At 43.1% G+C, this 13,169-nt stretch overlaps 1 protein-coding gene across 7 annotated transcripts in view, besides 2 other annotated features; it reads left to right on the top strand.

Annotated features, from left to right (window-relative positions):
- The window catches only part of ASTN1 (astrotactin 1), a 307,392-nt gene that overhangs the window by 114,697 nt on the left and 179,526 nt on the right, over window positions 1-13,169 (top strand). The gene's annotated exons all lie outside the window — the stretch shown is intronic.
- Window positions 796-1,496: an enhancer, noted in NCBI's record as "OCT4-NANOG hESC enhancer chr1:177017656-177018356 (GRCh37/hg19 assembly coordinates)". NCBI's record gives its function as "activates a minimal SCP1, AML or CMV promoter by ChIP-STARR-seq in naive and primed H9 embryonic stem cells {active_cell/tissue: H9 hESC(naive and primed)}" and the evidence as "EXISTENCE:reporter gene assay evidence [ECO:0000049][PMID:30033119]".
- Window positions 5,109-5,673: an enhancer, noted in NCBI's record as "OCT4-NANOG hESC enhancer chr1:177013479-177014043 (GRCh37/hg19 assembly coordinates)". NCBI's record gives its function as "activates a minimal SCP1, AML or CMV promoter by ChIP-STARR-seq in primed H9 embryonic stem cells {active_cell/tissue: H9 hESC(primed)}" and the evidence as "EXISTENCE:reporter gene assay evidence [ECO:0000049][PMID:30033119]".

Genomic DNA, 13,169 nt, shown 5'->3' with positions numbered 1-13,169 from the left:
GTTAAAGCATCCATCTTTCATTCTCTTTTTATTTCCTAAGTGTCATGGAATGTATACATCCCAGTCATTATCCCTGGGCTTTCAGCTGGCTGTGACCATCCCCAGCCCCTCTTTCCTCAATGCTCCGTGGCTCAGAGTGAACAGCCTCGGCCTCTGAGGCCCCCAGTCTTTCCACGGCAGGACCACCCTCCTTGGACTCCACCTTGGGTTCGGATAAGGCAACACCAACAGGTCCCAGCCAGGGCTCTGCTTGTAGCTTTCAAAGCAGAGTGACGTGGGCCCAGCTATCGTCACACAGACTGCATTACATCTTCTTCTTCTCACTTGTGACGAAAGCTTGCTGATGAGGCAAGCAGCCTAATGTTGGGATAAGACTACTGGATTTGAAGTCAGGAAGCTTTGATTGTGGACCTTTTTCTCTCAAAAACATGTGAAACTTCAGGCAAGCTCCTTGACCTTCCTGAGCCTCAGTTTGCTCATCTACATAGGAGAGGCTGGAATGAGATAAGTGTTCTCAAAACTTTGGCGTTCATGTTTTATTGGCATATTTTTATGCAACCTCTGTTAGTATTATCTGAATATTTTTATTTAAATTGACTTGCTTTTTCAATTTAAACTTATCTGAGAGAAATATGTCAATAAAATCAGGGGTTTGATGTTATAGTTGATTATTTCAATACAGATTAGGCAAATAGTATTTTATACAAATAAATGATAACATAAACATGTCCCACCCCTTTAACAGCAATTGGCACACCCATACCAGGAGCACATAGGTGGGCTATGTCCTGTGCCTTGGGGGTCCTGGGCTAGCTGAACTTGTAAGTTGCCTTCAGCTCCCACATTCTAGGAATGTGAAAGTGAAGGACATATGGGACACTAGCAATCCCTGGTTGACACAGAAAGAAATGCATGAAAAAACTTTCTTCCATTCCCTGCAGCAACTCTGCTTTTCTTTTTTCCATTTACGAGTATGAGGTGATGGTCTATGGGCAGTATGCTGGGCTTGGCAGGCTTGTATACAGGTTGAGTTGAAAGGAAGAAGTTCCATCCTGGGAGGGAGCTATCACATCCCCTTGTGAATCTTTGGCTGCTCTGTTGGAGGGAGCCTGGTGACTTTGAACCCTTCACATGGCCCAGTGGGGGCTCTCTGCAGGTGCCTTTGGTCTGTGAATTGCTGGTTCAGAGCCATTGCCTTCAGCTGGCTCTGCTCCTCTGTGTCTCCAGCGAGTCTCTCTAGACATACTGTTAGCCTCTGCTAGCATGAAGTACTCTAGGAGCCTCCTGGGTTTGATTTAGGATGGAGTGGCTCCCCCACATTAGGGAGCAAGCCATGGGAAGAGCCTTCAGCCTCCAGCTTTGGAGGATTTGGGAAGGGGAAATCTCCCAGAATTGCCTCTGGAGGCCTTTGAATACTCCCGGAAGGAGACATTTATCCTCCTCCCTAAAATGACTCAGGTAAAGCCGGAGGCAGAGTGATTCTTGGCAGGTCTAGCCCAGCCAGCCTTTATATAATATAATTCTTTCTTATGGAAGTGATTGTTTCAGTTGCCCCATTCCCAGGATAACAGTTATGCCTTAAGGGGGAAAAAGTATTTACTTTAGAAGGGAACTTTCTGGTAGGATGGTGGACTCTGCCTTGCTGACTAACAATGCTGGGACCTGCAGGGCATCTCCCAGACTCCCCTTTTGGGCCAGCCTCACTGGTTCTCAGGAGAGTCCCTGAATCAGGGGAAGATAAGGACAAGTCAGTCCCATGTTGCCATTAGGAGGGAGAGGCTCGTCCGAGGTACTGGAGATTCAGCGCCTTTACCTCTTTCTTGCTTTCCTCTTCTACATCCTGAGCCCCTCTGGCGGCCGCCCTTTGAGAGTTCCTTTGCCTCTTTGATCAGGCTTGATTCTGAAGTTCGTTTTCACCTGATTTCATCTAATGAAAAAAGTTAAGAGTGGGAAGTGGGCCATGTAGATATTCCTGTATAATACTGTAAGTGCATTCAAAGGCCTGTATTTTGCATCCAGAAATTTTCATCGGCATCTGTGTTAAATGCTGCCTTACCTAGCTGATCGTTCCAGGTCACTAGGGTTGAAGAGAAGGAACAAAGGAAAATTACTTCACTTGAAGGTCTTCTAAACAAGTAGCGCATTTTCATTATTTAGGGACAGATGGATTTCAGTCTTCCCATTCATTCTTATTACCCATGTTTCCACTTTCTGTACCTGCAGACTCACTGTCCTTATGCCCAGCATGGCCATGGGATCCTCTTCTTGTGCCTTCCTTTTCACCATGCTCTGCTCATTTTATTTTGTAAACATCTCCAGAATACCTCTCTTCTTTCCCTCTCTACTACCACTATGAGTGCAGACCCCCCTCACCTCTCACTGGACTGATACGGTGGTTTCCATCCTCTTCACTCTTGTCTTCTGCCTTGTTTCCCTTAAAAAAATTCCCTTCAACCACCATCAGGCTGAATCTAATAAAATGCAGCTTGAACTATGTCCTCTCCCTAGTGGAAAACCTTGAGTAGGTTCCTCCATTCAGAAGGCTAACTTCCAGGGTGTTAAACCTTTCATGCCTGACCCTCATCTCCTCCACTCCTTGCCTTCCCCTCTGTGAGCTACCCTGACAATCAGTCATATTTTCTGGACCTCCCTGTCATATTTTGTGGACCTCCCTTGCTATTTAATACTTCTATGATTTCACTCATGCTGGCCTTTTGGCTGAAAATGTCTTTCCTCTCCTCTGAGTGAGGCCACCTCTTTCTACTCTTTTTAAAATTCAGTTTTGCCCCATGACTCCCTCTAGGAAAGTGTTTCTGACCCCCTTTTCTCTCTGGGCTGGGTGAAGAAGTTTCATGCAATTCCTGGTGCATATTTCTGCATCATCCTTACCTGTGCATAAGCCTATCTCCCCTGAGTGTAAGCTCCTTGCTGGGAGGGATTATGCTTCTCCGGATCCTAGCCAAGGGCCTGGCCTTTTGCTAAAAGGCTTAAAGGGACTTTGGGAATGGACAGACAACCTTGCAAGGAAGGCTGAGCAAGTCTGATAATATGGAGAGCTGAGGCTCAAAGAGGTTAAATGGCTGAATGGCTGGTCAGTGGCACTGTTGGGATGGGGAGCAGGTGATCAGTCAGCGCACTTTCCCCTCTGTCCTGTAAGATCTTCAGCAAAATGTTCTCTTCAGGCCTCGTCTCTGGTCCTGTGGCTCCCTTTTCTCCACTGAACCCTCACATCTCTTCCTCCCTTCACATATTCATGGAACAGGAACCTTAGGGGAAGGCTGTCACACACACCAGAAGTGGCTAGATCATGAGGCCATCTCACTCTCCCTCTGCATGTGTGTGCATGTATACATATAATTTTTTAAGTTGATACTGAGCAAAATTACTATAAAAGGTTTTCAGAGTGGGAACTTTAGTTTTGAGTGTCACGAGGCATGGTATAAAGGGTGGGATGGGACCACATGGTGTTCTGTAATGAAGAGGGCCCCTCCCAGAGCCCGAATGTCCAGGAAGCCCCTGACTCAGCCTTCTGGGCAAAGCCAACAGCTCCTCATTTTCCTGTCCTCAGTGGCTGCTTTCACACTTCTACTACAGTGTCACGATGGCTGGTCTGTCTGCATCATTTGTAAGATGTGCCAAGTGCATTTGATACTAATAATAGGTAAAGTGCTGAAAATTGTGACTGGTTTTCTTTTCTCCATTAGAGTGGAGTCAAAGTTATAAATGACCTATAATAAGGTCATTCTCACTCAACTTACATTGTGTTATACTTTGCTGACTGAGAGAGAGAAAAAATTGGAGTTACAGCTGGTGCCAGGGGAACACTGAGCCTTCAGTGTGCCAATGGGGTCTACCCGGTTTGTAGCCTGTATCTCTCATGGTGTGGTGGCAGAAAAAACTATGGAAAAGTGTTGGTCCTGACAGTGTTTGGTTCTCCTGTTAAGCCAAATTTAATTTCCCCAATTATAGAATGAAGTTAAGAAGAACTTCTCCATCCTACCTGTAGTCACTCTGCAGAAACAGAAATATAAATGCAAAATTAGCACTTTCGTTTCAAAGAGAAGGTACTTTTATTTTTACCCCATTCACTTTGTAAAGCATGTGTCTGTAGCAGCTACATGTCTGTAGATATAATTAGATTCTAAATAGACATTTTTAATGTGATTACAAGTTTTGACTTCTCTGGTGATGATACTCTATTCCTGCAGACCTCTAAGGGGTGGAGCAGGAACAGTTAGATTAACGTTCAGGTTAGTTTATTTTACTAGAAAAAAAATCTGTCACTGTAAGTGAGCCTTCAGCTGTCTCACAAATGCTGGCTAAAGACACCAAAAGGTAGGAGCTAGAGTGAGGTTGGGTGAAGAGAAGTCCTCACACGCTCTAAAAACATAGCCGTATCCTCTGGGTGATGTATCATGCACCTTGCATTTGAGCATCCTCATGGGAAATGAAACCACCACCTGACTGTAGTTCACTTTCTCCTGGGAGGACTCCATGACCAAGGGAGTGCCCCTCAGAGCTATCTAGGAGCCAGCAGAAAAGAAGGAAGAGGGATTTTCAGATGGAGGTCTTCAGTCTGAACTGACCAATAGTGTGAACGTAATGCTGTTTGTGTTTTGTCAACCTTAGCAAGCCAGCGGAATGTGCCTCCCTGGAGTTAATCAAGCCATGTAGCATTCACTGAGTGTCAGCCCCGTGCTAGACATTCTGCTAAGGCTGGGGCTGTGGAAGGAATTTAGAATGTGGTCTCTGCCTGCAAGTCCAGTCAGAGCCATGATATGGGGAGCAACAGAATTAGGGATTAAGGATTAATTGAGAAATGTCCACATATGCATTAGGAATTGGAATAGAATGATATGTCTATGGATCAGAGTAATCAAAGTCGGTTTCAGGAAGGAGATAGATGTGTGCTGGGACTTGAAAGCACAGAAAGGGCATAGGTAGGGGAGATATAAAGAAGGACGTTTCAGGGAAATGAGAGAACAAAGGTTCAGGGATAGGCAGAAAAAAAAAGACCTATTACCCCATGCCTGCTCTTTCTCCCTTTTCCTCTCCCTCCCCTGTTTTTCTCTCTTTCTGTCCCTCTCTCCCTTACAACAGAACTGAATGTTAAGAATAGAAAAAATAAATCACAACTATTAAAATGTAGAAAGAAGAAACTCTGTGAACACTATGATTTGAATTAATTTATAATGATGTTGCAGATTGGCTGGGAATGACCCCATGGGTTCAGGAAAACAGGTACAGAATTAGGCAACTGGCCCAGCGGATGATGTCGGCCTTGTCAGTTGCCTTGGAAGCAAGAACCCCTGACTGCCTTTGTATCACTCCAATGTCTCTGGCTGACCTATGGATTCCCTGCATGATCGAGCCACTCATCAGCAAATCAAAACCTGACAAACAATAGCAGAGTTGAGCCTTTTGTCACTTTCCCTGGCAGGTGGGGAAGAGCTGCCGCTCAATTTCCAACTTCCCTTTGCTACAGCCCATCTTTGGCTGGTGAGCGCCAGGCCTGCGCCCGAGGTCCTGGCGGGAGTAACCAGCATTTGGCTGTTCTGCTGGGAACAGAGGGGGCCATGGTCAGCTAGTGAAGAAATCAGGCCTAAGTAACAGACTCTTTACCTGCACCCCACTCAATCACAACCCCCATCCTCACCTCAAAAAAACAAAACAAAACAAACAACAACAACAAATGCCAGTACAAGAGAGGAAGCCTGAAAAAACAGAAAAACAAGGCTGACAGCCTGGGGCTATGGGTGGGTGGGATGCCAGGGAGAGAGGAGGTAGGACAGGGCAGTTGGGTGTGTGTGTATGTGTGTGTGTGTGTGTGTGTGTGTGTATTTTTTTTTTCATTTCTTAAAATTAATGATGGGAAGGATTTGAAGACTTGTACAGTAGCTTTGCCAGCAAAAAATGTAATTAGCTAAAGACAATATGCTGCTGGTGTTGGAGCTGGTGGCTTAACGAAGCCCGTCCTAATGAGAATATCAGTACCTCATTCAGTGATTGCCTTCACAAACCAGGCCTCTTCTTCAGATTTTGTGCTTGATTAGTTCCAGAGAAAAAAATTCAATTTAATAATTTTTTAAAGAGGGAGAAATAAGAGCCACAGCACTCGGTGTGGGGCCCCAAAGAAGACTTTTTTGACTGCCAGGGTTTCTCCTCCTTCCCCTGTATGATGCCAGACAAAGCTTGCTGGCAAGGAATGAAGGGCTTGGAAGGGATATTGGCATATGATGCTCTAATCGTGTTCGTACGTCAGCGTCTCCTCTCAGCCCTTAATTTCCTCTTCTGTTCCCTTTGCTACAATTCTTGAGCTCTAATGTGCATCTTACTTGGATGCCAAGATTGAGTCACAGCTGGAATGGTACAAGGGATAAGACCATGGTTACCCATTGTTCTCCCAGGGTTTTGATTAGAATTTGGGGCCTGTGATTAGAATTTTCTGTAGTGGGTCAAATCAGTTACCAGTTGGAGGAAGCTTATGAGCACAAAGCAATGTATACAAGTTTTGTTAACCTCTGTTTTCGACTAGCATTAAATGACTTGCACTGGGAATGGCCGTTGTCATCTTTTGGGTTCTAATGCAAAACATGGCCCGTGGGCTTTCTCCTGTCTTCTCCAAATCTATCAGCTAGCACAGTGTTTTTTGTGTGACCTGACTGTAATGAAGTTCCTAGTTTCCCTGAAAGTTAAGTCTGACATTTCTCCCCAGTCTGTTTATATGTGTGTTGTTATATTGTGGAAAATGTTTATTGTTCTTCTTAGGTCTCCCATCCCAGAACAGGGCTTACAGAGAACAAACAGACCAGAGTCTGTGTGCATTAGTGCCAGACTGTTCTCAAGGAAATGGTTGAGTGTCTGTACTCTCAGACTCTGAGGACAGTTGATTTCACTTTACATCTACCCAAGGCTGCAGATATCTCCACAGAATTTTTGCTGCCTGTGTCAAAATGACAACCTGACAAGTGTGACCCTCCTTGGCCATATTGGTTAAATTATTGTTTAAAATGTTGTATTTGGCCAATCCAATGATCAAGCTTAACTGGAGAAGATTGCAGGTATCTGGGACAGGCAGTGTAGACAGTACTAAGTGTAGACATTTAGGGATCCTCACTTGCATAACCTTGAGAGTTAGTTGTAGAAGCAAGGAAATCTGGGGTTTAATTGAAAGAAAATGGGAAGTTGAGTGATTAGAGCCCAGACCACAGTGGTGGGCTTCTTTCTATGTGACACGGTCATAAAACAACATCATTAATGTCAGTGGTTGAGTATTAGTTTGGCCTCATACTACTATGTAAACTTGGATAAGTTACTTTCTAAAAATGGAAATTATAATTTTTACTACTTATACTTATTGGTAGGACTAAATAAAATAATGAGTATAATTCATTAGGTGCTATGTCTGGCATGTGGTAAACACAATAAACAGTAGTTATCATTAGTATTACTTCTTTATTGTACCAGTATTCTAGGAATAAGGCAATGTGTGAATAGACTAACAGAATGAGGCAGGAGTTTGGAGGAAGAGTTAAGCACATGTAATGGGATTAACTGTAGGAAGGTGAGAAATGCTTAATTCTTTCATAGTGGTTTGTGGACTTTGAGATCATCACAAAACTAACCATCAGCTGTGTGATCTTTACCTCTCCCAGGCTAGGGACTGTGCTGCTGGAAATCCCACTGTAAAAGAGAACGGGGCAGGATCCTTGAATACTTGACTGGATCCTGTCACACCAGATCTCACGGCACTCATGAAAATCAAGTTGTACCTCTATATGTGGGACAAGAATATGATCAAGGCCACACTCCATGTGAAAGGCCTTCTACCTCCACCCCGACTCTCAGGCATCTCTGAATAGTGCAGCCTTTAAGGATCCATCTCAGTGTTAGCTGGAGAGGAAATGGATCTTCAGGGTCTTCCCTGGTTCAGATAGTGATACTGATGAATATGTGCCAAATTCAGAGAAATCTTGACATCTTGACCCTCTTTCCCCTCCTATTCCCAACTAACTATGTTATAGGCTGTTTACATCTGAAGTCACTGGAATTCCTACACATGCCCTGCATAAGGTCTTCCTGCAGTGACTAGTTTTTAATGCTGTTGATTTTCATGTACTCAGCCCCAGTTGCTACCTATGGAGCTATCAGCTCTCTGAGAACCTCTTTTCCCCCATTAAGCTGGGCTGCCTGACTTTGAGGAAATGGGAGAAAGAGGGATTAAACAACTCCTTTATGATCAGAGAAAAACAGGGATAAAGTCTAATGGTCATTAGCATATACTGCACCCGCTGCCTCTTCCGTTACTTGTTCAATAATTCCCTTAATGTTTGATCCTAATGGAGTAGATTATTGTTATTATTTTATTTCATCAAGATCACCTACTGCATAAAAACAAAGAAGAAAGGAGGAAAGGAACGTGGCCCAGAATAGACATTGAGCATTATCCAGCTGGCGATATTTATTTATTGGCTTCATGCTTGGCTTGTGAAGTTTTGAAGGGCTGGTGCCCACAGCCCATGGAGGGAGCCTGTCTCATGCAGCTCTGCCCATGAGTTGCTGAGACAGAGACCTGGAGTGCTTCTGCTTCCTTGTGGACCCTTTTATCTTCCAGCCTATCTGTTGTACATAATACACACATTTGTGCGTGTGCATGCACACTGATATCCATACACATGGGTTATATGTGGGGCCAGCCTCTTAACACATGATGCTGATTGGGGTGCCATCCATGATGTCATCTCTCAGAAAATTATTACGTCTACATCCAGAGGGATGAAGGACCTGAGCTCTCCCCAGGTAGCCTGATTCCTTACTGGTCTCCTACACTGCAGAGGTCTAGGTCAGTCTTTGGAATTAGGGATCTATGGGCTGAAAACCCAGCCCTTGATGAGCTGCTTCTCTGTCATCCTGCTTCACCCAGCCCTGCTTGGCCTTAACATTCTCGTTAAGGCAAACAACAGGTAACTGTAGCTACTAATGATGAGAGATCTCTAAGCAGCTCACAGACAAATGCACTCCTTTGCTTTTCTTTGGGATGACAGAGTCAAGGGTCTGAGGCAAGAAAAAAATCTCAAGAACGGAAAAAAGCAGTTCTATAAACAGAATCTGAAAGAGTACAACTTGAAATAGCCCAGGCTGACTCCAGCACACTAGCCTCCAACCACTGTCCCTGTAGGGCTTCAGGCTCTCATTAGACGAAACTCCTAAAGTCTCATACAGGAATTGAAGACAAACTTTCCAGATTAAAGAAGAAAGACGATCAAACCTAATGGTCTTAAAACTTTTAGAGCTAGGAGAAGCAAAATAAAACACAATTAAATTAAAAAGTAATTAAAAAGCTAGAGAGTTGAATTTCCTCCTGAGAAGAACATAGCCTCTTTAGGTTGGAAGGACTCAAATACCAACCTACTTAACCTTGGAAGACTCTTGGTCTTAGCCTTTGCCTCTTGTTTGTGGAAGGTTGCCTAGTCCCTATATTTACCCACCAATGGCATTTTATTGAGACAGAGTTGGGGGAATATCCTATTTCTTTCCTAAGCCTTGGATACTTGGTCCTAGGGGCATGGGGGAAGGGGATGCTGAAGCATCTTGAGGCAGCAATCAGCAGTAGTAACTGCCCCAGTGAGAGGTTAACAAGGCAGCGCGGGCTGGGCCCTGCCAGTGGGGCATGCAATTCATACCAGGAGCCCCAGAAGACATATTGAGGCCTCTTAATTAACTTAGTGGCCCGTGGCAACTGGAAAGCCTTTCCACACGATTAAAGACTTCAGAAAACCCCCAAGAGGAGGTAATCTTCCTAATAATTTATAAATCAAACTTGCTACTTAATATGCTTAAAGTGTTTTCACTTGCCTTTCATCTGCGAAGGAGATGGGCAGGGGATAATGGATTTCTATTCACCAACTACCACAGAAAAGAGAACCTGCCAGAGAAGCAAGGGCATTTTCTCTTCCAGTTTGGGCAACTCCTTCTGGCAGGAAAGGGATCTTCATGGTCAATAATGTGTTAACACAATTTTCATGACATCCACTCATTTCAGAGGTCTTTGTGTGCAATTGGGGAAGAGCGGATCTGCTTGTGAGGAGATCATTGGCTAACTGGGGTTGATGACCTGCTTCTAGTGGGCCAGCTCCATCATCTCCTTGGTCTGTGGTTTGTGACTTTGCTGGGCAGGAAGAATGCACATTTTATCTACCCTTAATTTACCAATGTAGAGCCATTTCCTGTTTGACAGGGATCAGTGTTACAATCAGAAAATTTTCAGATTGGAAGAGTCATGCATTTCTTACAATCACTGAATTTTATCAATGAAGGCTTGGGTTAGATTCAAAGGGGCTCTGCAATTTGCATACAATTACACAGCTGTTTAGCCCTGTTATTTTACTGGGGTTCTTCATGTTGCTAGTAATTTAAGTCTAGTTTTCCAGTAGGCTCCGTAGTATCACAGGATCAGAAGGGACCTTGAGAAGTTATCCAACTGCTTTATCCATTCCTTATCCCTGGAACATTTTGATTCTAGATTAGGATATGCCCAGAGTTTCCATGTGGGTTTGCACAGTTTTCTGTTCTTGTTCTGCCTCTTATAAAAGATATGAGTGATATCCAGAAAAACATATAAGTGATTGTTGCTGTATCAGAGAGAGGGTGTTTACCCCTGACCTTGGGTCATTGGTATTTAGACAAAACAGGAGACATGAGCTACCAAACTCTTGTATGTGATTCCTATTTTGTAACCACTATTTAATTCCTCAAGGAATATAATTTGAATTCAGTATGTCTAGTTGCCTTGAGGAGTAATTAATTCTGTCTCAGATTCCCTCTTCTTCTTACTCCTAAGGTAAAAGTAAGCTTTGAAATGTGAGCTGATTGATTGGCTGTAGTCTCTTGACAGATGGTAGCTGGAAGCATAATCTCAGCTTTTCCATTTCTCTGCCAAGGGTTCAGAAAGCCCAGGTGACTCTCTAAACTTGGTGACATTTAATAGATCCAGATTCTTTTATTCGAAGATTTATTGATTATGTGACACTGATTTGAGAAGGATTCCACTGGTCCATGGGGGTGTTACCAGAGTATTACCTCTAGCCCAAGATATCTTCATCTACCAGTTTCTTTGGTTTGAAGAAGAGAAGTAATGATGGGCCAGCACCTGTGATCTGTTTTTGTCTTCCTTTTATGCCTGTGTTTATCTTTAAAAACCAAATTATGTAGATTAATTTCTTTAACTAAAATATAAACTCCATGAGATCAGGAACCATACGTGTGTTATTCACCGCATTATCTTCATAACAGTGACCACTGAAAAAAAATGCCTTGCTAAAGTAGGTATCAGTAAGTGTTTATTGAATGATTTAGTAATAAATTGAATAAATGAGTCACCCAAGCAGCTGACTTATATAAGATTAGCTTGTAGGCACAGAGAAGATGACCATATTGAAATATATTGAAAGTTGATGATGCTTCTTCCTTTTCTTCCTTTTTTCTTCCTTCTCTTCCTCCCTCTTTGCTTCCCTCCTTCCCTTCCTTCTTTCCTTCCTCCCTCTTTATTTCTTCTTTCTCCTCTCCCTTCCTTCCTCTGTCCCACAATTATTGACCATCTGCTTTATGCCAGGCGCTGCGTTTTAACCTGGAGCTATAAAAGAGATAGATTAGACATGGCCTCTGCCCCATGGCCCCTGCCCCCTATAGTCTAGCAAATGAGATAGACAAGAAAATCAAAGGTAAATGTACTTGTGGTTAGAGTTATGTGGAGGGTTCTATGGAAAGTGCAGTGAGACTAGAGAAGGGTTAGCTGAAGTCGTGTCACTGAACTGACTTTGAAGGATGAGTAGGAGTTAGCTGAAGGAGGGAGGTATGACCCAGGACCCAGGATGAATATACAGGTCAGATAATGAGACAGTCTTGTGGTTGGTCCAGAGGACTGGGATAAGCATAAAGGAGAGATCTGCTTAGAATTTTCCATCCTTCGGCAATTACCAAAAATGTTATGTAACACATTGTTACATAAAAATTCTAAAATCTACAAATTATCTGACAAATCTCATACTATTCTCTTAAGTAAGTGCTGAAAATGTCAATTTCATAATAAAATAAAAGCTGACTTCATTTGTGTGGTATCTATTACAGCCAGTAGAAATGATTTATTGATTTTTAAAAAGAAAAATGTATTTTAAAATGCCACATTTTTTTGCAAGGAACTCGTTAATAGATGTGGGTTTCTCATATACCCCAAACACACTTCTAGTTACCAAATGTTAACAGTTTTGAGAAAAAAATCAATAGAATAATCAGAAAATTCATGCAAAGATGAATAATGAGCAAAGCAATTCCATGTTTTGCAGCCAGTGCTTACAGTCAGTGTTTCTTTTTTAATGTTCAGAGTTTACAACTTGTTACTTGTTGCCTGAATCCAGATATACTGTAATGTTTTGTCTTTGTTTTTCCAATGGCTATAAAAATTGGAGCTAACACAAATAAATGAAGAATACTTTCTGAACACAGCTAGGGTAAAACAGAAACTCAAAGCAAGACATGTGCATGTGAAGAACTTCTGTATGCTCTCTGTAAAGCCTTGTGTGTGTGATAACTGCCCATTCTGTTTCTCAGTGTGCTCATGAGCAGATGTTGAGTAGAGGTCTTTTTGGAGCTGAGAATCCAGAGGACAATTGTTGCTCCCAATAAGCTGTGTGAGATATGTGCATCTCGCCTTTCTCTTTTCGACTTGGCTATCAGGATGCTTCCAGCCATAGTCTTTGGCCTAGGGTTTCTTTCCATTCCATCTGCCCCCTTTTCATTTCGCTAGACTCTTTGAAAGGAAAATCCTACAGTATCCATGATATTTACTGAAACTGCTTAAAATTCTCTGCAAAAGTAGTAAGATTAAAAATAATGAAATTGGCTGGGCTCAGTTCCTCATACCTGTAATCCCACCACTTTGGGAGGCCGAGGCAAGTGGATTATTTGAAGCCAGAAGTTAGAGACCAGCCTCCCCGACATGGTCAAACCCTGTCTCTACTAAAAATACAAATATTAGCCAGGCATGGTGGTGCATGCCTGTAATCCCAGCTACTTGGGAGGTTGAGGTGAGAGAATCACTTGAACATGGGAGATGGAGGTTGCAGTGGGCCAAGATCACACCTCTGCACTCCAGCCTGGGTGACAGAGTGAGA

This window comes from Homo sapiens, chromosome 1 (assembly GCF_000001405.40).
Source record: "Homo sapiens chromosome 1, GRCh38.p14 Primary Assembly".
NCBI classification, from domain to species: domain Eukaryota; kingdom Metazoa; phylum Chordata; class Mammalia; order Primates; family Hominidae; genus Homo; species Homo sapiens.
This window is presented reverse-complemented; position numbering and strand designations above follow the sequence as displayed.